This window comes from Homo sapiens, chromosome 4 (genome assembly GCF_000001405.40).
Source record: "Homo sapiens chromosome 4, GRCh38.p14 Primary Assembly".
Taxonomy (NCBI): Eukaryota; Metazoa; Chordata; class Mammalia; order Primates; family Hominidae; genus Homo; species Homo sapiens.
The window spans coordinates 112,590,500-112,616,850 of NC_000004.12; the positions used below are offsets into that span (position 1 = coordinate 112,590,500).

Below are 26,351 nucleotides of genomic sequence, written 5' to 3' on the forward strand. Positions count from 1 at the left end.
ATACCAAATTGTTAGAGTGGCTTTTGATGGGAGTGGAATTGGGGGAAAAGCTCTTTTACTTATAACTTCATACTCTTGTAAATGATTTGAACTTGTTAAAATGATTATGTTAGTGACTGTATATTTTCCTTAATAAATGACAAGAGCCAGGCGCAGTGGCTCACTCCTGTAATCCCAGCACTTTGGGAGGCTGAGGCGGGTGGATCACCTGAGGTCAGGAGTTCGAGACCAGGATGGGCAACACAGTGAAACCCCATCTCTACTAAAATACAAAAAATTAGCCGGACATGGTGGCATGTGCCTGTAATCCCAGTTACTCATGAGGCTGAGACAGGGGAACCACTTGAACCTGGGAGGCGAGGTTGCAGTGAGCCGAGATCACGCCATTACACTCCAGCCTAGGCAACAGAGCAAGACTCCTTCTCAAAAAAAAAAAAAAAAAAGACAATAAAGATTCAAAGTTTATAAGCTTATATATATATTTTACAACATTTTCTTGATTGGCTACTGGGTTCTGGGTGCTGTGCTAGGAAACAAAGATGTGAAAAAATACTCATGATCCCTGGACTCAAGGAGTTCAGTTCAGTGGAAGACAGACAAATGGGAAATTACAATCATCACTATAAAAATAGTTTTATTATATTTCTGAGTTCTTACTATATGCCAACACTATATATTTTAACTTGTTTAATCCTTGTCACAACCATATGAGGTGGGTACTCTTATTTTCCTTATTTTACAACTGGGAGAAGTGAGAAAAAGAGCAGTTAAGCACTTAAATTTGCTTAATTCATCAAGCTTATAAGGGAGTTCAAATCTAGCCAGTCTAGACTGTATTGCCTCTTTAATAAAAATAACAGTAACAGGCAGTACTTACTGAGTACAGTATTCCGCTCTGTTCCCCTACTACCCTCTCCAGAAACTTGCCAGAGTACTTTCTAAAATGTAAGTTCGATTATTTCATTCCTCTGATCAAAACCCTCCAATGGCTCCCAATCTCTCTTAAAGTATGAGGCAGCTCTTACAAAGTCCTATGCAGCCCTACCTCATCAGCCCCTTACCTCCTGTTTAACCTCACTGCCTATCACCCTCCCCCTCACTCACTCACTCCATGGCAGCCTCCTTGCTGTTTTACACACCAGCCATCATTCTTCTGCCCCAAAACCTTTGCTCTTGCTATTCCCTGTGCCTGGAATGCCTTTCCCCTAGATATCTGCATGCCTTTCTCCCTCTCTTCATTCAGATCTCGACTCCAGTGTCATCTTATCAGAGAGGCTTACCTTGCCTAAAATAGAACTCCACTCCCATGTGCACTCCCTATCCCCCTACATACCAGTGTCATTCTTCAGAGCACTTAAGACACTCTGAGGTGCTGTATATTTATTTATTTTCTGTCTCCTTTAACTAGAATGTAAGTTCTATGAGGGAAAGATCATGCCTGCTTTATTCACAAGCCTATCTCTAGACCAAGAACAGTGTAACATAACAGGCATTGCTCAAGAAATATTTGTCAAATGAGTGACTGATTAAATAAATACACTCATTTTAAGGAGTTTGCTACATACATGGTCTCCATTTTCTTACCTCTCATTCATTCTTTTTTTTTTTTTTTTTTTGAGATCAAGTCTCACTGTGTTGCCCAGGCTGGAGTGCAGTGGCGTGATCTCAGCTCACTGCAACCTCTAACTCCCAAGTACAAGCAATTCTCGTGCCTCAGGCTCCTGAGTAGCTGGGACTACAGGCGTGTGCCACCACCCCAGGCTAATTTTTGTGCTTTTAGTAGAGACGGGGTTTCACCATGTTGGCCAGGCTGGTGTCAAACTTCTGACCTCAGGTGATCCACCTGACTCGGCCTCCCAAAGTGCTAAGATTACAGGTGTCAGCCACCACGCCAGGCCTCATTCACTTTTTAAATGACTCTAAACTAATTCTTACCCTATTTCATTGAAATTGCTCTTGCCAAGGTCACCACTGACCTCCAAGTTGCTAAATGAAATGGACATATTTCTGTCCTCATTTTATTGGATGTCTCAATAATAATTCACATAACTCTCTCTATCCCAATTCTTGATACAAATATAACCCATTCTCTTCTCTATGCTCTCTTTAAATGAACCCATCCACTCTTACTGCTTTAAACTTTTCTTTGTGCAAATGACTCCACAAATATCTCCTCTAAATCAGACTCATGTACTCAACTTCTTACTTAGCATCTCTATTTGATGGTTTCACAGGTATTATTTATTTATTCTTATGTATTCACCAAACCTGCTCCTCCCTGCTATGGAGAGAATTATGTACCCACAAAAAATGTATATGTTGAAGCCTTAACCTCCAATGTGATTATATTTGAAGACACAGCCTTTAGGAGATAACTAGGGTTAAATGAGGTCATAAGAGTGGGGCCCTTACCCAACTGAATTAGTTACCTTACAAAGAGAGACAACAGAGAATTCTCTCTCTTCAAATGCACACAAGAAAAGGACATGTAAGGACATAGGGAGAAGGCAGCTATCTGTAAGCCATGAAGAGGGGCTCATCAGAAACAGAATTGGCTGGAACCTTGATCTTGGACTTCTAGCTTTCAGACTGTGAGAAAATTAATTTCTGTTGTTTAAGCCATCTAGCCTGTGGTATTTTGTTATGGCAACCCTAGCAAACTAATACACTTCCCCATCTTGCTTTACTCAATGAAAATTGCCTCAGTCTGCCCAGTTGTTTTTCTTCTCCCTTTCTTTCACCCTACTCCTTACATTTAATCCAGTAACATCCATGATTCTACCTCCAAGATTTGTCTTAAACCCACCAACTCCACTATACTTTCACTGCCACAATCCCTACTTCAATTCACTATCATCAAAGCATTCTCTTAACTGGTTTCTCCGCTTCTACCACTGTGTCCATCCAAGCCATCTTCTATATAGCAGCCAGCAAAAACTTTAAAAATATAAATTGAATCATGTCACTTCATGCTGCATCCTTCAGTGATTTCCCAGTGGCACGCACAATAAAAATCAAAGTTTTGATTTTATTCTGAACCTGGCCTGAAGACTCTATGTCTATGTCTGGCCCAGCTGACCTGTCCAGCCTCATTAATTACCATTTTCTGTTTCATTCACCACAATCCAGATACCTTGGCCTTCTTTCACTTCCTCAAACTCACTCAACTTTTCAATCTCAGGGAATTTACACATGCTGTTTCTTTGCATGGTATGTTCAGTCCCTCACTGTTGCCAATGCTGGAGAAGCCCTCCTTTATCACCCATTTTATTATTTATTTATCTATTTATTTTAAGACAGGTCTTGCTCTGTTGCTCAGGCTGGAATGCTCACAGCTCACTACAGCCTTAACCTCCCAGGATCAATTGATCGTCCCACCCCCGCCTCCTGAGTAGCTGGCACTACAGTTGTGTGACACCACACCTGGCTAATTTTTAGAGATGGGGATTCCCTGTTGCCCAGGCTGTTCTCACTTGAACTCCTGGGCTCAAGCAATCCTCCCGCTTTGGCCTCCCTTAGTGCTAAGATTACAGGTGTGAGCCACCGTCCCCAGCCTAATCACCCATTCTAAAGTAGATTCCCTTATAATTTGAGAGTACTTTCACAGATTTCCTACATAGCAATTATCTCAATTTATTTGTTTGTTTGTTTATTCTCCTGATTAACATCTCCCTCCCCCTGCTGACCTTTAAGGTCATATCTGGTTTGTCCATCAATCTATACCCAAGTCTTACAAGTCTTCTGACCCACAGAAGGTATTCAATAGGTACTTTTGAATTCTTATTTATTCACAAATTTTATATTCAACAGTAAATTTCATAGTCTGTTTTACACATGTCCTGCACATTTCTAACAAATATCATTTGTTACTACTGTTGGGACTCTTTTTCTACTATATTTTCTAATTGGTTAGGAAAGCTATTAATTTTTTAAGTTTTTTGTTTTCGGTTTGGTTTTTTTTTTTTTTCTTTGAGACAGACACTCGCTCTGTCACCCAGGCTAGAGTGCAGTGGCATGATCTTAGCTCACAGCAACCTCCACCTCCCAGGTTCAAGCGATTCTCCTGCCTCAGTCTCCCAAGTAGCTGGGATTACAGGCACATGCCACCACGCCCAGCTAATTTTTGTATTTTTGGTAGAGATGGGGTTTTACCATGTTGGCCTGGCTGGTCTCGAACTCCTGACCTCAAATGATCTGCCCACCTCAGCCCCCCAAAGTGCTGGGATTACAGGTGTGAGCCACCACGCCTGGCCTAATTTTTCAAGTTTATCTTGTCTTCAGGTCCTTTCTAAAATCCCTTCTAAACTTTCAAGTTTTAATTGGTTATTTTAATTCTATTTCTTCCTTTATAATTATGCATGTTTCGTTTCCTGTCATATTTCAAAGATCAAAACATCTTTAAATGACAAAGAAAGCAGTCATCTATGTTTTGTTAGATTTTAACAAAAATTACTCCACAGGCCAGGTGCGGTGGCTCACGCCTGTAATCCCTAGCACTTTGGGAGGCTGAGGCAGGCAGATCACCTGAGGTCAGGAGTTTGAGACCAGCCTGGCCAACATGGTGAAACCCCATCTCTACTAAAAATATAAAATTCTTATGACTCACATTTTTTTACATTTTAATGTCTTTGAAATAGGGAAACACTTTAAAAGTGATGACATTTTTACATCTCTATAGCACAGGCAACAGTTGTGACATAGTTGTCATTGCCTGTACATGTGCAAATGTATGCAAATTAGTCATGCTGTTCATCTTAATAATCACTTAAATATGAATTGGTCTGTGCATTGCTAATATCAAACACGTTCTAAGTAATTTTGCTGTTTAAATGTCTTCAAAAGATTATACTATGATTTAGCCCTGAACAAAAAATTATTATGTTCAAAGAAAGGCAAGAGAACAAAGCAGTGTAATATACAATTAAAAACTGTGCCCAACACAGCATAGTGGCTCACGTCTATAAACCCTGCACTTTGGAAGGCGAAGGCAAAAGGATCGCTTGAGGATAGGAGACCAGCCTGGGCAACATAGTGAGAGCCAGTCTCTACAAAACATAAATATATATGTTTGTGTGTATATATGTGTGTGTGTGTGTGTATTTATATATATATCAAAATATATGTATGCCCAAATAAGCTTAAAAGCATTCTTTCAATAAATATAACATTAGAAGTCTAAGTGAAGATTAAAAAATTCTGGAGATCCATTTCAAAACAACGTAAGTATACTTAACACTACTGAACTGGTTGAAATAGTAAATTTTATGATATATGGTTTTCACCACAATAAATATTTTATAATGTTTTTAAAGTCTAGGATAAAAAACATTGTGTAATGTCTAAATGACTACTCTTCTTTCTTAGTGCTGTATAACAAACTGGTGCTTTTTACAGTAGTAGTATCTCAGAATTTGATAAAAATACAGAATTTCTTGTAAGTCCAGAGATTGCTACATGCAAGCAATGTCACGCTTATTCAAAAAAGCACTTATCTGTTTGTAGATCTAATCATTTTGTTTTAGAACATTTTTGTAAACTCAGAATATAAAGCATATAATCATAACTGATGTAGATAACAATAACTAGAAATAAAAATAATGGACATAAGTTTCTTTTTCAATATGGAATACCTCTAAATTTTGTTCTCCTCTCAAAATATACAGAGGATGAGAAACAGAAACTCCATCTTTGATGAAACTAAGAAGCAATGGCAATCCTGAATTACAATACAATATTAAGAAGATGGGGAATAGTATAGACTTGGCAATATCAAGAAAATCTAACCAAAGCACCTAGTAAAGGAAAGCCCAATAAGAAGTAAACTGATTTGCCCCAATAACCATGGAAGGGCTCAGAAACTGAAGGCCACAGGTGTTGCTGAAAGTAGGATACAATGGACTAAAATATTTGATAGAAGATTCGAGAAAGAAAATCTAGAAAACACTGGGGGGAAAAGCAACAAAGAAATATATTTTTTAAAAAGTTTCATAAGACAAGTAGATTTGTATTTACAGGATGAAAAGACCCACTGAGTACAGTGTATTAATGAAACCTGAAGGAAAGCACATGACAGCGAAATTTCAGAATATCAGGATTTTTTTTTTTGTTGTTGGAAACTGGGTCTCACTCTGTTGCCCAAGCTGGAGGGCACTGGCACAATCTCAGCTCATTGCAACCTCTACCTCCCAGGCTCAAGGGATTCTCCTGCCTTAGCCTCCCAAGTAGCTGGGATTACAGGCACATGCCACCACGCCTGGCTAATTTTTAATTTTGTGTAGAGACAGGGTTTTGCCCCGTTGCCCAGGATGGTCTCGAACTCCTGAGCTCAGGTGATCTGCCCACCTCGACCTCCCCAAGTGCTGGGATTATCTAGCACTTTGGGAGGCCACTGTGCATGGCCAGGAATTTTTTTAAAGTCATTAAAAGTTTCTGTGCCGGGCACAGCAGTTCATGCCTGTAATCCTAGCACTTTGGGAGGCTGAGACAGGCGGATCACTTAAGGTCAGAAGTTTGAGGCCATTCTGGTCAACATAGTGAAACCCTGTCTCCATTAAAAATACAAAAATTAGCCAGGTGTGGTGGTGCACGCCTGTAGTCCCAGCTTCTTGGGAGGCTGAGGCAGAATAATCACTTGAACCCAAGAGGCGGAGGTTGCAGTGAGCCGAGATCACACCACTGCACTCCAGCCTGGGTGACAGAGCCAAACTCCATCTAAAAAAAAAAAAAAAAAAAATTCTAGAGGGAGGGTCAGGCACTGTGCTCACACCTATAATCCCAGCACTTTGGGAGGCTGAGGCAGCAGGAACACTTGAGGGCAGGAGTTTGAGACCCAGAAAACATAGGAAGACCCCATCTCTAGAAAAAGTTTTTAAAAATTAGCCAGGTGTGGTGGTGTGCATCTGTAATCCCAGCTACCCAGGAGGCTGAGGCAGGAGGTTGGCTTGGGCCCAGGAGTTTGAGGCTACAGTGAGTTATAATTGTGCCACTGCACTCCAGCCTAAGGAAGAGAGTGAGACCTTGTCTCTAATAATAATAATAATAGTAATAGTAATAATAATTCTAGAGAGAGAAGGCACTGCTAAATTTAAATTACAAAGAAGTGGGCACAGTGGTTCACTCCTGTAATCCCAGCACTTTTGGAGGCTGAGGTGAGTGGATCATTTGAGGTCAGGAGTTCAAGACCAGCCTGGCCAAGATGGAGAAACCCTGTCTCTACTAAAAATACCAAAAAAAAATTAGCTGGACGTGGTGGTGCGTGCCTGTGGCCCCAGCTACTCGGGAGGCTGAGGCAGGAGAATCGCTTAAGCCTGGGAGACAGAGGTTGCAGTGAGCCGAGATCGTGCCACTTCACTCCGGCCTGGGTGACAGAGCCAGACTGTCTCAAAATGTACCCACACACACACACACTGAAAAAAAAAAAAAAAAGAATAAAGCAGATCATATCCAAATTCTACACTAAGTCAAACTATCAATCAAGTATGAAAGCAAAAAAAACCATTTTCAACATGCAAAGTCTCCCAAATTTTATCTCCCCTTGCTCCCTTTCTTTGGAGGTATTCAAAGATGTACTCCAGCATAACAAGAAAGGAGACATGGTGTTCAAGATGTAAGCAACTCATGCTAGGAAGGCAGCAATGGGCATTCTTAAGTTGTCAATTATACAGTGCATACTGAAGCAGGCAGATGAAAAACCTGGAAAAGATGCCATAGGAAAATAATGGAACTGACACAGATTATATGAAAAGTATGTGTGAATTCCTGTATTAAGGAGTATTTTATACAGCTTTTTGAGGGTATGGAAAAACTTTGCCCCAGTATTCAAAAAACACTAAGCAAATTTTAAAAAGAGACAATTATAAACCGGAAAAACCCAAAGTTATAAAGGGAAGAAAATGTAATCATAGTATACCAATTGGCTCAGCAGTGAAAATATTAAAACATTTATAATAACGAAAACATTGAATATATATTTATCTTAAAGTTATAATATAACTTAATATTATAGGTGCCTGGAAGAATATAAAGGAGGGATTCAGAAACAACTAATTTTACTGTAGCCACTGTAATCATTAGCTCTTGCTAAAGACAGTGCAAAATCACAATAGTTATTAAAAGCATCAAGGTGCTTTTATTAATTAATAATAAAATAATGTTTTTATTAATTAAAAACATTAAGTGAAAAAGAGTTCTGAGCTCCAGAAATCACAAAAAACACTGACAAATCTTATTACATAAATTAAAACATTTAATTTTAGAAAAATCATAATCAGGCCAGTCACGGTGTCAGATGCCTAGAATCCCAACACTTTGGGGGGTCAAGGCAGGTGTATCGGTTGAGCCCAGGAGTTCAAGACCAGCCTGGGCAACATGGTAAAACCCTATCTCTATAAAAAATTTAAAAATTAGCGAGGTTTGGTGGTGTGTACCTGTAGTCCCAGCTACTCAGGAGGCTAAGGTGGGGGAATCACTTGAGCCTGGGAGACAGAGGTTGCAGTGAGCCAATATCATGCCACTGCACTCCAGCTTGGGCAACAGAGTGAGGCTCCTTCTCAAAAACAAAAAAATCAGAGTCAAAGCACTAATGTAGTGGAAAAAAATGACAAAGGGTTAATTTTCTTAGTATGTAAAGAGCGAAGAGCTCCTACAAATCAAATATACAAATAATATATAGAGAACCTCTATACCAAAACTGTAAAACATTACTGGAAGATATTGCAGCAGATTGAAATAGAGGGAAATATTTTTATAATATTGAAAATTTATCAATAACATATTATAAAAATGTTAATTCTGCCCAAAATTGACATGCACAATGGAATTTCATCCAAATTCCCAGCTTGTATGTGTGAAAACCATTAAGCTAGTTCTAAACATATATGCAAATGTAAAAAAATGAGAAGAATGAGGTGGGAAGATTTAAAGATACATAGGAAGTACATAGGCCAGCCACTGTGGCTCACGCCTACAGTCCCAGCACTTTGGAAGACCAAGGTGAGAGGACTGCTTGAGTCAGGAGTTTGAGACCAGCCTGGCAATATAGCAAGACCCTGTGTCTAAAAAAAAAAAAAAAAAATTAGCCAGGCATGGTGGTGTGTGCCTACAGTCTCAGCTACTTGGGAGGCTGTGGAGGGAGGATCACTTGAGCCCAGGAGTTTGAAGCTGCAATGAGCCTGTATAATGCCACTGCACTTCAGCCTGGGTGACACAGTGAGATTCTGTTTAAAAAAAAAGGAAGAAAGAAAGAAAACACATGCTTTGTGACTTCTGAAATTGCAGACCAATAAATCAGAAGAGAAACTAATAAGAGACCCTTAATATATGGACCCTTGATTCATGGCAAAGGAATGAAGAAAAGATAGCTTTTTCAATAAATGGTGCTGGGTCAACTGAATATTCATATGGAGAAAACATGTAACTTTACATAAAATGTACTCAATACATAAAAATCAATTACAGGTAAACTGTAGATCAAAATGTGAAATGTAAATTAATAAAGCTTGTACAAGATAATATGAGAGAATATCTTCATGATCTTGAGGTAATGTTTTTTTTTCTTTGATACAGGATCTCACTCTGTCACCCAGTGTGGTGGCATGATCATGGCTCAAGGCAGCCTCAATCTCCCAGGCTCAAGCAATCCTCCTACCTCAGCCTGCTGGGTAGCTGGGACTAGAGGCACGCAACATGACACCTACCTAATTTTTAAATTTTTTTTGTAGGGACCGAGTCTCACTATGTTGCCCAGGCTGGTCTTGAATTCCTTGCCTTAAGTGATCCTCCTGCTTCAGGCTCCTGAAGTGCTGGGATTACAGGTGTGAGTGACCTTGTCATCCAGAGAAAGATTTCTTAAGATACAAAAGCGCTAATCGTAAAGGAAACAGCAAATAAATTACATTAAAAATGATAAACTAGGGCCAGGTGTGGTGGATCACTCCTGTAATCCCAGTACTTTGGGAGGCCGAAGCAAGCGGATCACGAGGTCAGGAGTTCGAGTCCTGCCTGGCCAACATGGTGAAACCCCGTCTCTACTAGAAATACAAAAATTAGCTGGCGTGGTGGTGGGCACCTGTAATCCCAGCTACTTGGGAGGCTGACGCAGGAGAATCACTTGAACCCAGGAGGCGGAGTGTTGGGAACAAGCTGAGTGTTGGGAGGGAAACTGAGGTAGGGCTTGCATGACTGACATAATGTCCTCTGGAATGTGTGTAGACTTGCTGGCTCCTTGCTTCTAGCCCTCCTAGGCTCCTATTCCCATTATCTCAAGTAGCAGAACACGTTCCTTATAAATGCTAAACTGTCACAGCTGTAGATCATGTGCCTGCCCTTTTGACCTCCACATTCTCACCACCTGTTTCTCTGTTGGATTACCAATAAACAGTGTGGGCTCCCAGAGATCGGGGCCTTCGCAGCCTCCATGATCGCGATGGCCACCTGGTCCCAGTTTTACTTCTCATACTGTCTTTTTCTCAATCCTTTGACTCTGCCAGACTTCATCACCCCTACAACCTGGTGTTGGGTCTGATCACCCCAACAGCAGAGGTTGCAGTGAGGCAAAATCACGCCACTGCACTCCAGCCTGGGCAACAGAGCAAGACTCCATCTCAAAAAAAAAAAAAAAATGATAAACTAGGCCAGGCGTGGTGGTTCACACCTATAATCCCAACACTTTGGGGGGCTGAGGCAGGAAGATCGTTTGAGCCCAGGAGTTCAAAACCAGCAGCAACCTGGTGAAACAACATCTCAAAAAAATTTTAAAAATTAGCTGGGCAGCCGGGAGTAGTGGCTCATGCCTGTAATCCCAGCACTTTGGGAGGCCGAGGCAGGCAGATCACTTGAGGCTAGGAGTTTGAGAACAACCTGGCCAACATAGCAAATTGTTAAGCTAGTTCTAAATGTATATGCAACCATACTAAAAATACAAGAAATTAGCCAGGCATGGTGGCGCATGTCTGTAATCCCAGCTACTCGGGAGGCTGAGGCAGGAGAATTGCTAGAACCCAGGAGGCAGAGGTTTCAGTGAGCTGAGATCACGCCACTGCACTCCAGACTGGGTGACAGAGCAAGACCTTGTCTAAAAAAAAAAAAAAAATTAGCTGGGCATAGTGGTGGGCACATGTAGTCCCAGCTACTCGAGAGTCTGAGGCAGGAGGATTGCTTGAGTCCAAGAAGTTGAGGCTGCAGTGAGCCATGTTCATGCACTGCACTCCAGCCTGGGTGACAGAGTTAAGACTCTGTCTCAAAAAACAACAAAAAAAGAAAAATTTTTGATTCATCAAAGATACCATTAAGAGTGAAAAGGTAAGTAAGGGTCAGGAAAGATATTTGCAAAGCATACAACTGACAATGAGTAGGTATCCAAATTATATAAAGAATTCCAGAAAATTTTTTAAAAGATAAGCACGTCAATTAAAAAATGAGGAAGAGGCCAGGCATGGTGGCTCACGCCTGTAATCCCAGCACTTTGGGAGGACGAGGCCGGCAGATCACCTGAGGTCAGGAGTTCGAGACCAGCCTGACCAACATGGAGAAACCCCATCTCTACTAAAAATACAAATTAGCTGGGCTCAGTGGCACATGCCTGTAATCCCAGCTACTTGGGAGGCTGAGGCAGGAGAATCGCTTGAACCCAGGAGGCAGAGGTTGCAGTGAGCCAAGATCACGCCATTGCACTCCAGTCTGGGCAACAAGAGCAAAACTCTGTCTCAAAAAAAAAAAGGAAGAAAGCTGAACAGGCACTACATCAAAGAGGATAAAGAGATGGCCAATAGGCATACAAAAAAGGTCCCAACCTCACTATCAGGCAGGAAAATGCAAATTAAAACTACAACTGAAGTACCAATATATACCCACCAGAATAGCTAAAACTGAAAACCAAAAACAGCATCAAGTGTTGGTAAAGATGTAGAGTGATGGGCACTCTCATACACTCCTAATGGAAATGTAAATTATAAAAACCACTTTGGAAATCAGTTTTGCATTATGTACTAAAAGTAAATATATCCTATCCAGTGACTCAATGATGCTACTCCTAGGTAATATAACCAACATAAGTATGTCACGCATGTGTGTATATGTACATGTTCATGATGGTACTTGAATGTTCACAGCAGCAGTATCTGTAATAGTCCCTTAACACAAATAACACAAACATCTGAAGAATGGATAAATTGGGATATATTTATGCAACAGAATACTACACCAGCAATTAAAATGAATAAATTATAGCCACAGGCAACAACATAAATGAATTTCAGAATTGCAATATTAAACAAAAGAGGGCAGACACAAAGAATACACTGTGTATGATTCTATTTATATAAAGTTTTAAAAGCAAAACTAATAGATGGTTATAAGTCAAGACAGTGGATATCTTAGGGAAAAGTGAAAAGGGTAGTGATTGAAAAGGGGCAGAAGGAGAGCTTCTGAGATGCTGAGAATGCTCTATTTGTTAAAGGTGGAGGTTATATGAGTATGCTTTGTGATGATTTACTTATTTCATATATGTATTATGCTTTTTTTTCTTTATTTCTTCTCATATGTATTATGCTTTGACAAAAAGGGAAATTTAAAAAAAAATCTCTTTGATGAACACTGTTTCAAATACATGCTTATCATTCTAACCTCATGACCTCTATTTTCATCCCCAGAAATCTGCCTTTGGTAGCAACTAGAGGTACTCAGTGTCATATTTAAAGAGAGAAGGGAAATATCAGAAGAAAAAAAATCTATTAGATGTTAAACAGGTGAGTATTTTCTTTGTGTAATGTACCTGTTTGCTTTTGTCATGAATTTATAGTCTTCTCTGAAGTGAAAAGTAATCTGTTAAACTCCCAATGTTAAAAAAGTAATACATCTTTCAAGTAAAATACTTTTGTTATTTAGTTTTGAGATATTATGCTTCTTGTCAATTTACTGTACTCCTTTTTAACTTATAACTGTATAAACAACTATACTATTTTCACAAAATGTAGTATTAACATAAAGAAAATGATTTGGCAAAATGCAACTATAAAAATATTTTTACCTGCAAGAAGTCAATCTGCATACACGTGCTAGGTAACTCTGGTGTCTCTGTCATAAAGTTTTCATACTCAGTGCTATCTGGAAACTGACTGCATCCTAGCTGTGAGCTGTGTCCTCTGACCATTACACCACTAGTAGCTGATCCTTTTACTTGATGTCCTTGAAACTCAACAGGCTACAGGTAAATTATTAAAAATAAGAACTGCATAACTATATGTTGACATATATATTCACAAAGTAAACACACAGAATACAATACATAATTCAGCTTTTTATTACAGGAACTATTGTAAATACCAGGAACTAATGCTGAAAACCGGGAAATTCTCCTATTATCCTAAAACATACGTTATGGGTAACAAATTCAAAGTGCATCGATTTAACTACATTTAAGTTCAACATTAAAAAGTATGATTTAGGCTGGGCATGGTGGCTCACATCTGTAATTCCTGCACTTTGGGAGGCCAAGGTGGGTGGATCACTTGAGGTCAGGAGTTCAAGATCAGCCTGACCAACATGGTGAAACCCCATCTCTACTAAAAATATAAAAAATTAGCCAGGCGTGGTGGTGCACGCCTGTAATCTCAGCTACTCGGGAGGCTGAGGCCGGAGAATTGCTTGAACCAAGGAGTTGGAGGTTGCAGTGAGCTGAGATCACGCCACTGCACTCCAGCCTGGGTGACATAGAGAGATTCCATCTCAAAAAAAAAAAAGTATGATTTATAGCCAATGAGGGGGAAACAAATGAATAAGTATAATTTTATTACAAGCATAAAGATGAGTATAATAATAATAGCTAATTAAACCAGAAATATTTAGTTGCTTCTCAATGCTTCCACTATATATTATACAACTATGCATTACATACAATACTATATATTATAGACTCACAACTTCATACTTCAATGAAGTTTTTCCTTATTTCTGTACTAATTGTACTGTAAGCCCCTTGTGAGCAGAGATGTTTTGCTTCATCTAGGTACCACACAGTACTTGGTATACAGGAAGCAATAAATAAACAGCCAGTAACAGAAAGGGAACAATGAGAAAGAATGCAAACAGCATTTCTCTTTACTTAGGGGTTTTGTAAAATATCAGGCTCAACTGCAGGATGGGTGGTGGACTCTCTGCCTCTCAGTAGAAAGATGTGATATCCTACTGCTCTGAGAGCAAAAGCCTAAGAGTGTGATTCCAATGTAGACATGTTCCTTAGACAGGCTCTTTCACTCAGTCTGTTTTCAGGCTTCAAATGGCTTTCTCTGCTGCCCCCTGGAGGGTTCTAGGATTTTTTACTCCATACAAAGTAAAGCTTACCCAAAATGTGGAAAAATAAGACTGTAACAGAGTCAAAGGAATGTAGGTAAAGGATTAATTCATTTTTAACTAACAAAATGACAGTAATATATAATTTGAATATACTCTTATTCAAAAATGAAGAACTGTAAATCACACATTTGAAAGAAAAATCTAATTTAAATGCCCCTTTAATAGGACTTTGGTGGAAAATATTCTTCTGAATTTAAAAATAAACATTGCAATAAAAATGAGTCTCAACTGTTAAAGATTCTGTATATTTCTGCTTCTGCTTTGTCTGATGGGTAATGTATACTCCCCACAAGGAAACAGGTACATTACCTCCCCCACTTTTTTTTTTTTGAGACAGAGTTTCGTTCTGTCACCCAGGCTGGAGTGCAGTGGCACAATGTTGGCTCGCTGCAACCTCCACCTCCCAGGTTCAAGTGATTCTCATGCCTCAGCCTCCAGAGTAGCTGGGACTACAGGTGTGTACCACCACACCCAGCTAGTTTTTGTATTTTTAGTAGAAACGGGGTTTTGCCATGTTGACCAGGCTGGTCTCGAACTCCTGGCCTCAAGTGATCCACCCGCCTTGGCCTCCCAAAGTACTGGGATTACAGGCATGAGTCACCATGCCTGGCCAAAATAGGTACCTTGCCTTCTATGCTGCCATGTAGATCTCTTCCAGAGGTGTGTTGGGTTTTAGGAGTAGAACTGCTATTTACAAAACCCATCCATTTTTATGCTGTTGTCTTTGTTAATTTTTGATATAGAATAGGTAGCACTACTTAGATGTTGGTTACGTATACTTCTATATACTCAGAAGTATAAGTGGCAGAATAGACTATAATAAGTTAAAGGGTATAAAGATACTCATTTTGTTCCCCACAGAGTATTCATTAATTTTACTCTACATGGCTTTGTGTCCAACCCCTAGAGTATCCTATGTACGGAAGGATAATGTAAACACTGTTATTATTAGCTCATTAGTAGTATAGAGAAAGTTTAAGACCAAAAAGGGGGGCAGGAGTCATTAAATAGTTTTTCTTGTTCTTAAAACCAGACTTATTTATTATGCTACTAACCTTCTGCCTGTGAAAACTCTGATACTTGTTTTTTTGTTTTTTTGTTTTAAACAGAAAAGAAAATGTAGTTGGTTAAATAAATCGATGTTCTTCACAAATTTTACCTTAGGGTCACAGGTTTTTCTCTCTATTTGTTTAGGAATAACAGCTTGAAAAGCAGTCTCTTCTTTACTTCCCGAGGAAGAGAACTAGGATAAAATATGAATAAGTTATCTAGTTAGCTAGAATAGTTTCACAGGTGATTCATGATTTTGATGGAAAAATAATTGCAAAACTTAAGTTTGCCCTGTGAAAACACACTTGCCATCTCTATCTTGCTTCTGTCTACACACACATACAAGCTAGCTCTCCCTGGCAAAGGGGTACTTTAGCAGGTAAGTCACTATGCTAATTAATTTGAAAACTTAGCACATTAGAAAATTCTGATTCTAAATTTTTAATTAAATCTTTGAACACTAGAAAAAAATGCCAGGTATAACTGGGTGCAGTGGCTTACGCCTGTAATCCCAGCACTTTGGGAGGACGAGGCAGGCAGATCACCTCAGGTCAGGAGTTCGAGACCAGCCTGACCACCATGGAGGAACCCCATCTCTACTAAAAATACAAAATTAGCCTGGCGTGGTGGCACATGCCTGTAATCCCAGCTACTCAGGAGGCTGAGGCAGAATTGCTTGAACCCTGGAGGCAGAGATTGTGGTGAGCTGAGATCACGCCATTGCACTCCAGCCTGGCCAACAAAGCAAAACTCCGTCTCAAAAAAAAAAAAAATAGAAAAAGAAAAAAATGCCAGGTACATAATAAATCACCTGTCAAACCTAATACTATGTTAATGCAGATCATCTATTTTAAAATTAGTAAGAAATGAAAGGAAGAAAAATTGAAAAAGTGTAATTGACTATTTGAAGAATGAATCATCTCCTAGCAATCACAAAACACGATACTGACAACAGCAACAAGTCATTTTTAGTTCATCAAGTAATATACAAAATAACCATAATTTTTCATATGACTTGGATAGACACAGAAAATGAATTCAACTACAAAAGTAATTGTTTAAATGTTTAACAAATATGAAGAAAAAACACTTCCCCAACAGACCAGAGATAAAGTAGTATATTTCTTCAAATAATGGTCACTTTCCTTTAATAACACTTATATATAAGCACAACTGCCAACCAAGTAGCTCTTAAAAATATTCAACCTATATTTTAGAATTAGAATTTTTTCTTTTTTTTTTAAGAGACAGGGTCTTGCTCTGTCACCCAGGCTGGAGTGCAGTGGCGCAATCGTTGTTCACTGAAGCCTTGACCTCTGGGATCAAGTAATCCTCCTGCTTCAACCTCTTGAGTAACTGGGACTACAAGCATGTGCCACCATGCCACCTAATTATTTTTATTTAAAAAAATTTTTTTTAGAGTTGGAGTCTCACTGTATTGCCCACACTGATCTCAAACTCCTGGCCTCAAATGATACCCCTGTCTTGGCTTCCCAAAGTGTTGGGATTACCCGTGTGAGCCACTGTGCCAAGCCAGAATTACAATTTTCTAATATACAGTTTTCAAAATTAATTCGCATACTACCTTCTCGCAAGAATAGCTCTTTTGCAATATGTAGTTAATTATACTTTTAAAAATGAGGCAGAAGTGGCATTAAGGGTATCTTCAAAGAACACACTGTTTTGAAAGTTCCTTCTACCACCAACATACATAAAGAGGTTGTTTCAGAGAGTTGTAGTAAGAAGAGCCATTATAGGCCAGGCACATGCCTATCTATAATCCCAGCACTTTGGGAGGTGGAGGTGGGAGGATTGCTTGAGGCCAGGAGTTCAAGACCAGCCTGAACAATGTAGTCAGACTCCATCTCTACAAAATAAAAAAATAAAAAATAATTATCCAGCCATCGTACTGTGCACCTGTGGTCCCAGCTACTTTGGAGGCTGAAGCAGGAGGATGGCTTGAGCACTGGAGGTCAAGGCTGCAGTGAGCTGTGACTGTGCCACTGCACTCTAGTCTGGGTGACAGAGTAAGAACCCGTCTGAAAAAAGAAAAAAAAAAGAGCCATTACAAAAATACAAATGTACTCCTATCTTAAAGCTAAAAACAGATTTAAATAATTTTTATTGCAATAGATTATTAAGACCTTTTCATTACTGTGAGATGACAGCATATTTTTATTGTCTTGTTAATAAGAGGGGGATCATACTATGTCATATTATGTGGTCCAGGCTGGACTCTATCTCAACTCAAACGATCCTCCTGCCTCAGCCTCCTGAGTAACTGAGATTATAGGCACGGGCCACTGCTCCCGGCTTCAACAGACTTTTAAAAAATATATGATATCTAAGTGGCAACTCATTCTAAGCGAAAAAATAATGATAGTGTTTATCTGTAGTTTATACTCTGTGATACCTGTCCTTAAAAAATTTTAAACCTAGGCTGGAGGTGGTGGCTCATGCCTGTAATCCCAGCACTTTGGGAGGCCGAGGCAGGCGGATAGCCTGAGGTCAGGAGTTCGAGATCAGCCTGACCAACATGGAGAAACCCCATCTCTACTAAAAAAATACAAAATTAGCCAGGCGTGGTAGTGCATGCCTGTCACCCCAGCTACTCAGGAGGCTGAGGGAAGAGAATTGCTTGAACCCAGGAGGCGGAGGTTGCGGTGAGCCGAGATCACACCATTGCACTCCAGCCTGGGCGACAAGAGTGAAACTCCACCTTAAAAAACAAAAAGAAAAAATTTAAACCTTATTTTTTCAAGTGAAAAAAAGACAAAAACGTGATCATTTGTAAGCTAAATTTTGTAGTTGCCAATTGTTTATAATTTTATATGTGTAATCTTGTTACATAAGAATGAAAAATGGCAAGTAGCCATAATACAGGTGTTTTCTTTTTATTTTGTTCTGTTTTAGGCAACAGAGCTATAGGGATAATTGTCAATGACCCATGGGTTTGGTAATGTTTGCAAGTTTGCAAAACTAACTTCATGGTAAAGAATTTGTTATTTAACCAAATTATATTGATCATATAGTACATTTATACTAAATGAAAATCACTACAAATGATTTCAAAAACTGACAATATATAATACAAACTTAGATGTATTTATTAACTTAAAATTACATGCCATACCTCTATATACAAATATAATTGGCTAATTTTTTTTTTTTTTGAGACAGAGTCTCACTCTGTCACCCAGGCTGGAGTGCAGTGGCGTTATCTCGGCTCACTGCAAGCTCCGCCTCCCGGGTTCATGCCATTCTCCTGCCTCAGCCTCCCGAGTAGCCGGGACTACAGGTACCTGCCACCACGCCCAGCTAATTTTTTGTAGTTTTGGTAGAGACGGGGTTTTACCATGTTAGCCAGGATGGTCTCTATCTCCTGACCTTGTGATCCACCCGCCTCAGCCTCCCAAAGTGCTGGGATTACAGGCATGAGCCACCATGCCCAGGGGCTAATTTATATTTTAAATAACTTACCTGCACAGACTGAAGTGGTTCACTTAGTTCAACTTCATCTTCTTTTAGTATCTTAGGAATAGAATATTAATTTTAGATAAACTAATAGGCAATAATAATTTAGAAAACAAAAATATAAATTTCTATTAGACTTAAGAAATACTAGGGCTGGGCATGGTGGCTCACACCTGTAATCCCAGCACTCTGGGAGGCCAAGGTGGGCGGATCACCTGAGGTAAGGAGTTCGAGACCACCCTGGCCAACATGGTGAAACCCTGTCTCTACTAAAAAATACAAAAACTAGCCGGGTGTGGTGGCACACCCCAGCTACTCAGGAGGCTTAGGCAGGAGAATCACTTGAACCCGGGAGGAGGAGGTTGCAGTGGGCCAAGATTGCGCCACTGCACTCCAGTCTGGGCGACAAGAGCAAGACTCCATCTCAAAACGAAGAAAAAAAAAAAAGAAATACTAGAACACCATCACTAATATGAAATAAAAACTGGCCAGGCATTGTGGCTCACACCTGTAATTCCAACACTTTAGAGGCTGGGGCTGGAAGACTGCTTGAGCCCATGAGTTTGAGACCAGCTGGGGAACATAGTGAAACCCCATCTCTACAAAAAATGTAACAGTTAGTTAGGTATGGTGGCATGCACCTGTAGTCCCAGCTACTCAGGAGGCTGAGGCAGGAGAATCACTTGAGCCCAGGAGGTCAAGGCTGCAGGAGCCAATCACGCTACTGCAGTCCAGCCTGGGCAACAGAGCAATAACCTGTCTCAGAAAAAAATACATACATAAAAAGTAAAATCCTGATAAAACAGTATTGTCATTTAGCAAGAATTTAAAAAGCTTACAACGGTACTAGTAAAAATGAAGTAAAATAAATATTCTAATTGTAAAACATTAAAATTTTTATATTTGAAAATATCATGGCCAAGCACGGAGGCTCATGCCTATAATCGCAGCACTTTGGGAGGCCGAGGTGGGCAGATTACCTGAGGACAGGAGTTCGAGACCAGCCTGGCAAACATGGCGAAACCCCATCTCTACTAAAAATACAAAAATTATCCACACATGGTGGCGTGAGCCTGTGGTCCCAGCTACCCAGGAGGCTAAGGCAGGAGAATTGCTTGAACCCAGGAGGCAGAGGCTGCAGTAAGCCGAGATCATGCCACTGCTCTCCAGCCTGGGCAATAGAGCAAGACTCCGTCTCAAAAAAAAGAAAGAAAAGAAAAAAAAAAGAAAATATCAAGAACCCAAGAAAGAAAGTTGTTCCTAGCCTTCCAAATAATTACTTCTACTTCTGGAATCAAATCTAAGGAAAAAACTTAAAATGCAAACAATGATTTATGTGTAAAAACATTTATTAAAGTGTTACTTATAATAGCAAAATGCTGGAAATTATTTAAATGACCAAAACAGAGAACTATTTGTCCAAAGCACAAGATAGCCATAGGATGGATGGTAAATAACTTTTAAAAAGTATGTTTAAGAAGAATTATTAATAATGTAAGATAATACAACGATATTAAGGGGAAAGGATATAAAACTATTTATATACATCAATCTAACCATTTTTTTTAACTGGACACAAAAAAATCTGGAAACATTAATAAATATTCTGAGAGGCAGGGTAGGTTTTATTTTTTTCTTCACTGTTTTCTGTATTTAGAAAAAAGAAAAAAAAATCAACATTATTAAAAGGGGAAAAAAAGGACCAGTAACATAAAGAATAAAGTAAGATATAAAATGGAGGCAAGTGAGGCCGGGCCTGGTGGCTCATGCCTGTAATCCCAGCACTTTGGGAGCCTGAGGCGGGTGGATCACTTGAGGTCAGGAGTTGGAGACCAGCCTGGCCAACATGGTGAAACTCCATCTCTACTAAAAATACAAAAATTAGCTGGGTGTGGTGGCACGCACCTGTAATCCCAGCTACTTGGGAGGCTGGGGCAGGAGAATCACTTGAACCTGGGAGATGGAGGCTGCAGTGAGCCAAGATCGTGCCACTGCACTCCAGCCTGGGCGAAAGAGAGAGACTCCATCTCAAAATAAATAAAAACAAAAATAAAATGGAGGCAAGTGAAACATTCTACTTTCTTTTGTTCCAAACATGTCTGTAGAAAGACCAGTGCCATATAATGAAAGAACTGACCCTCCAAAAGTGCTAACAGCATCCCCATTGAGTGAGAAACACTCATCTAGATGATTTATCCTAGAATTTCAATTCATCCTAATTAGAACTATTATTTTTTATATAACTACCATGGTTCCCAAACTGTGCAACAAGGTACCCTGAGGTGGCACAATGAACTCACAGGAGCTCCATAAGGTGTTTTATATGTAGGGTAACAGTGTCACCTGACATCTGTCTGACACCTAATGAACTACTAACTCCAGGTCTGTTTCTACATCAGATCTTGCTACATTTCTTTCAATGACATTGCACCTTTGTGAAGCTGGGTTCTGAGAAACTGCTGTGATAAAAAGCAATTATCATGAGAAAATCAACGTGTAACAAGAAATAAGGTGGTGTTACCTAATCTATTCCAAGGTTTGAGAAGTTGTATAGTGCCCAACAGAGGTACACATTCCATTAGTAACTGTGGGGTTTTGTTTTTTTTTTTTGAGATGGAGTCTCACTCTTGTTGCCCAGGCTGGAGTGCAATGGCATGATCTCGGCTCACTGCAACCTCCGCCTCCTGGGTTCAAGTGATTCTCCTGCCTCAGCCTCCCAAGTAGCTGAGATTACAGGTGCATGCCACCATGCCTGGCTAATTTTTGTGTTTTTAGTAGAGATGGGGTTTCACCACATCAGCCAGGCTGGTCTCGAATTCCTGACCTCAAGTGATCTGCCTGCCTCAGCCTCCCAAAGTGCTGGGATTACAGGCGTGAGCCTCCACGTCCAGCCATGTAACTGTGTTTTTTAACAAACAAAATGCTTACAAAGTTACTAGGAAATACTTGAGTTGCTTAATACTATTAACTACATAATAAATGAAACTGTTAGGCATTTCTTTTGGCTGAGGAAGGCAATGAAAAATTACTGAGATACAGCAGGAGTCATGAACCAAGATAGCTTGGGACTGTATTACTATAATTCTATTACAAATTATAGAACATTCTTATCAAAATAAAAAAAACATACTCTTAGAAAAAAAACCTGTACCTGTTGAGAATCCTTGTGCAGATGAGGAGACTTTGGTGAAACTACTGTAATAAATGGTTTCCTCACTGTAATGGAGAAAAGAAATAATCATATCATTGTTATATATAGCAGTACTCTAAAATTTAACTTATTCCTAAAACCAAAACAAGGAATATAACTTAAATTTTAAGATCAGACAATCTTGGTAATTGTTCAATCTGGAATGTAGCACTTGAGGATTCACTGTACTGTTCTCTGTTTAGATTAAAACATTTTTATGATAAAAATTTTAAAATATTTAGAATGAAAGCCTTTTTGTTTACTTTCTAAGTCAATAGTAGGAATGTTTCCTTGTACTCCTTTTTTACACTAATTAAAAAATAAATACTAACCCAATAGTTAATAACCTATACTAAAAATGCTAAAAATGAAGTACCGGACAACTGTTAGGAAAGAAAGTCAAGACTCCCAGTATACTGTTGCTATGTACAAACAGAAAAGAAAAACAGAGTCGGGCATGGTGGCTCATGCCTGTAATCCCAGCACTTTAGGAGGCCAAGGCAGGCAGATCACTTGAGGCCAGGATTTCAAGACCAGCCTGGCCAACATGCTGAGACCTTGTCTCTACTAAAAATACAAAAATTAACCAGACATGGTGGTGCACAACTATAATCCCAGCTACTCAGGAAGCTGAGGCAGGAGAATCACTTGAACTCGGGAGGTGGAGGTTGCAGTGAGCTAAGATCGCACCACTGCACTCCAGCCTGGGTGAGAGTGAGACCATGTCTCAAACAAAAGAAAAAAAAACAGCACTTCATGCTATTTCTAGTCTATCTTAAATCCATTTTTACTATGGCTTAAGAAAAAAATTCTATATTCTAAAAAATTCACTCAACAATTATTTTCCAAGTGCAGTGTGCCAGGCACTAGGGAAATAGCAGTGAACAAGACAAAAAAAAATTCCTTGAAAAAAGAGAGACACAAAAGACAAACAAATAACTAAACCAGATAAATTCAGATTATGATACAAAAGGGTATCTCATTGAACAGTGATATGATACAGAACGATTTTTGATACAGGAATTAGGAAAAGTTTCTCATGGGAAGTAACATTTAAGTTGAGATGAAGAAAAAACTCAGCTATGACAAGGGTAAAAGTGTTCGGGTAAAAGGCTGAATACAAAACAGCAGAAAAGTTGGCAAGCCTGCAGAATGCAAAGGAGTGCAGGGTGGCTAGTTTTGCCACCTTATCAGGTATCCATTTAAAAATAGAAATTTTTTTTCTTAAAAAAAAGTACATATTCAATAATCTCCTCTTCTAAAATCACAAAAAGACTAATTTTAAAGTGATAATTACGGTAAAAAATCATAGCTATAACTAGTGTAAACTTCATTTTTAGGCAATTGCTATTTATGATTTCATTGTTTTCCTGCTAAAATTCAGAATAAAATAAAAAATAATTTTGGAACTTGACATTTCTAACAAGTTTTTTTAAAACACCAGATGAAAATTGATATTGTTTTCCTTTACTGCCTTTGCTCCAGAAAAACATTCTAAATTAACATTTCTAAGCTATATACAATTATCTCACAAAAAATTTAGAGTTTTAACACTTTCGCACATTCTAAATTGGTGGCAAAATTTCTTCTTCTCTAATTTTGCTTTAAACTTCATAAAAGTATGTTATACCCTAGTGATTCAATCTTCTCAAACTGTCTCAAGCAACCAACTTAATCCTTTTTAGAGAAATATATTTGTATCAAAAAAGCAAATTTAGTCGATCATTACTCATGGATTCTGCCTACTCCCTAAAGTTTATTTGTAACCCCAAATCAGTATTTGCTATACTTTCATGGTCATTTGCAGACATACATAGAACAGCAAAAAACGAATTGCCTGAAGCGCATGTTCTCAAGGTAACACTCTGGCTTCTTGTTTTAGCTTATGTTGTAAACAATTATCTTTTTCATGGTTGCTTAGTGCCACATTTTTCATTTTTGTGCTATTTATTGGTAATTTCACTACTTAAAATGTCCCCAAAGGGGCCAGGTACAGTGGCTCACGCCTATAATCCCAGCACTTCGGGAGGCCGAGGTGGGCAGATCACCTGAGGTCAGTTCAAACCAGCCTGACCAACATAGCGAAACCCCGTCTCTAATAAAAAAAAACAAAAATTAGTTGGGTGTGGTGGCACACGCCTGTAGTCCCAGCTATTTGGGAGGCTGAAGTAGGAGAATTGCTTAAACCCAGGAGGCGGAGGTTGCAGTGAGCCAAGATCGCGCCACTGCACTCCAGCCTGGGCAACAGAGCGAGACTCTGTGTCAAAAAAAAAAAAGTCCCCTAAGAATAGTGCTATCTAGTGTTCCCAAGGGCAAGAAGACTGTGATATTCCTTATGAGGAAAGTGCATATGTTAGGTACATTTTTTATAGGTAAGAGTTATATTGCTGTTGGCTATGAGTGAGTTTAATGTTAATGAATTAACAATATATATTAAATAAGGTTCTTTAAGCAGAAACATACATAAAACAAGGTTACGTATTCATAAATTAATGAAAATGTTCTGACCACAGGCTTGCAGGAACCTAACCCTGTATTTCCCATAGGAGCAAGGTTTACTATTACTAGTTATGTGTTTGCAGTGACTTCACAGAACTACTGCAAATAATCAGAATCAACTTTAATTTTCTTTCCAACTTGATGACAGAAACCAGCTGGTTTCCCAAAACTAATTTTTTTTTTTAAGATGGAGTCTTGCTCTGTCACCCAGGCTAAAGTGCAGTGACACAATCTCTACTCACTGCAACTTCTGCCTCACGGGTTCAAGCTATTTTCCTGCCTCAGCCTCCCCAGTAGCTTAGATTACAGGTCCCCACCACCACACCCGACTAATTTTTATATATTAGAGATGGGGTTTCACCATGTTGGCCAGGCTAATCTTGAACTCCTGACCTCTGGTGATCCGCCCACATCGGCCTCCCAAAGTGCTGGGATTACAGGCATGAGCCACCACACCTGGCCTTCAAAACTAAATTCTATAATCCCTAAATCTCCATGCTAGAACTTTGTATTCTTATATGGTATCACATAACTTTATCTACTCATATTTATTTTTCATTAAAGCTTTTTACTTTTTTTTTTTTTTTTAAGATGGGAGTTTCATTCACTCTTGTTGCCCAGGAGCACAATGGCATGATCTCGGCTCACTGCAACCTCCACCTACCAGGTTCAAATGATTCTCCTGCCTCAGCCTCCCGAGTAGCTGGGATTACAGGTGCCTGCCACAATGCTCATCTAATTTTTTATATTTTTAGTAGAGACAGGGTTTCATCATGTTGGCCAGACTGGTCTCGAACTCCCGACCTCAGGTGATCCACCCGCCTCTGCCTCCCAAAGTGCTGGGATTACAGGCATGAGCCACTGTGCCTGGCTACTTACTTTTAATATTTTAGAAAATAAACTAACAATTATCTTCAAACTTAACTACATTTCAAAGAATCATTTTAGTAGGTACAATAAGTTAATTTATATTTTTCTCAGGAATCACATGAGATACTCAAAAGTTCAATTTTACCTTTTGATTTGTGAACTTTATAAATTTGTAAAGGTTTCTTACTAGCAGTAATATTGATATAACAATTTGGAAGCTATCTTGTATTGCAGATTTGAGAAGGTATACTGATACTGGGAGCCAGGATCCTTTCATATTGTGAGAGTACAGAAACACAATTATGGGGCTGGGTGCAGTGGCTCATGCCTGTAATCCTAGCACTTTGGGAGGCCGAGGCAGGTGGATCTCCTGAGGTCAAGAGTTCAAGACCAACGTGGCCAACATGGTGAAACCCCATCTCTACTAAAAATACAAAAAAAAAATTAGCTGGGCATGGTGGCGGGTGCCTGTAATTCCAGCTACTGGGGAGGCTGAGGCAGGAGAATCACTTGAACCCATGAGGCGGAGCTTGCAGTGAGCCGAGATCGCACCACTGCACTCCAGCCTGGGTGACAGAGCAAGACTGTGTCTCAAAAAAAAAAAAAAAAGAAACACAATTATGGGCCAGGAGTGGTGGCTCACGCCTGTAATCCCAACACTTTGGGAGGCCGAGGTGGGCAGATCACGAAGTCAGGAGTTCAAGACCAGCCTGGCCAACATAGTGAAACCCTGTCTCTACTAAAAATACAAAACAATTAGCTGGGCGTGGTCGTGGGTGCCTGTAATTCCAGCTACTCAGGAGACTGAGGCAGGAGAATCACTTGAACCCAGGAGGTGGAGGTTGCAGTGAGCCGAGATCGCGCCACTGCACTGCAGCCTGGACGACAAGAGTGAAACTGTCTTAAAAAAAAAAAAAAG

The 26,351-nt window shown here is 39.5% G+C and overlaps 1 protein-coding gene across 28 annotated transcripts in view; it reads right to left on the bottom strand.

Moving 5' to 3' along the window:
• The window catches only part of ZGRF1 (zinc finger GRF-type containing 1), a 97,571-nt gene that overhangs the window by 51,161 nt on the left and 20,059 nt on the right, over window positions 1-26,351 (bottom strand). For 9 of the 28 annotated variants that reach the window (XR_938764.2, XM_011532092.3, NM_018392.5 and 6 more), the window contains 4 exons: window positions 22,025-22,089; window positions 18,880-18,930; window positions 15,509-15,592; window positions 13,025-13,198 (listed from right to left, as the gene is read on the bottom strand). Coding sequence is in view for 25 of the 28 variants with exons in the window: in XM_011532092.3 (XP_011530394.1) it covers window positions 13,025-13,198; window positions 15,509-15,592; window positions 18,880-18,930; window positions 22,025-22,089 (374 nt within the window). In the remaining 3 variants the exon portion in view is untranslated. Of the gene's footprint in view, window positions 1-13,024; window positions 13,199-15,508; window positions 15,593-17,316; window positions 17,351-18,879; window positions 18,931-22,024; window positions 22,090-26,351 lie in introns of those variants that run through there. The other 19 variants (XM_047415914.1, NM_001350397.2, XM_047415913.1 and 16 more) reach the window with 7 other exon arrangements.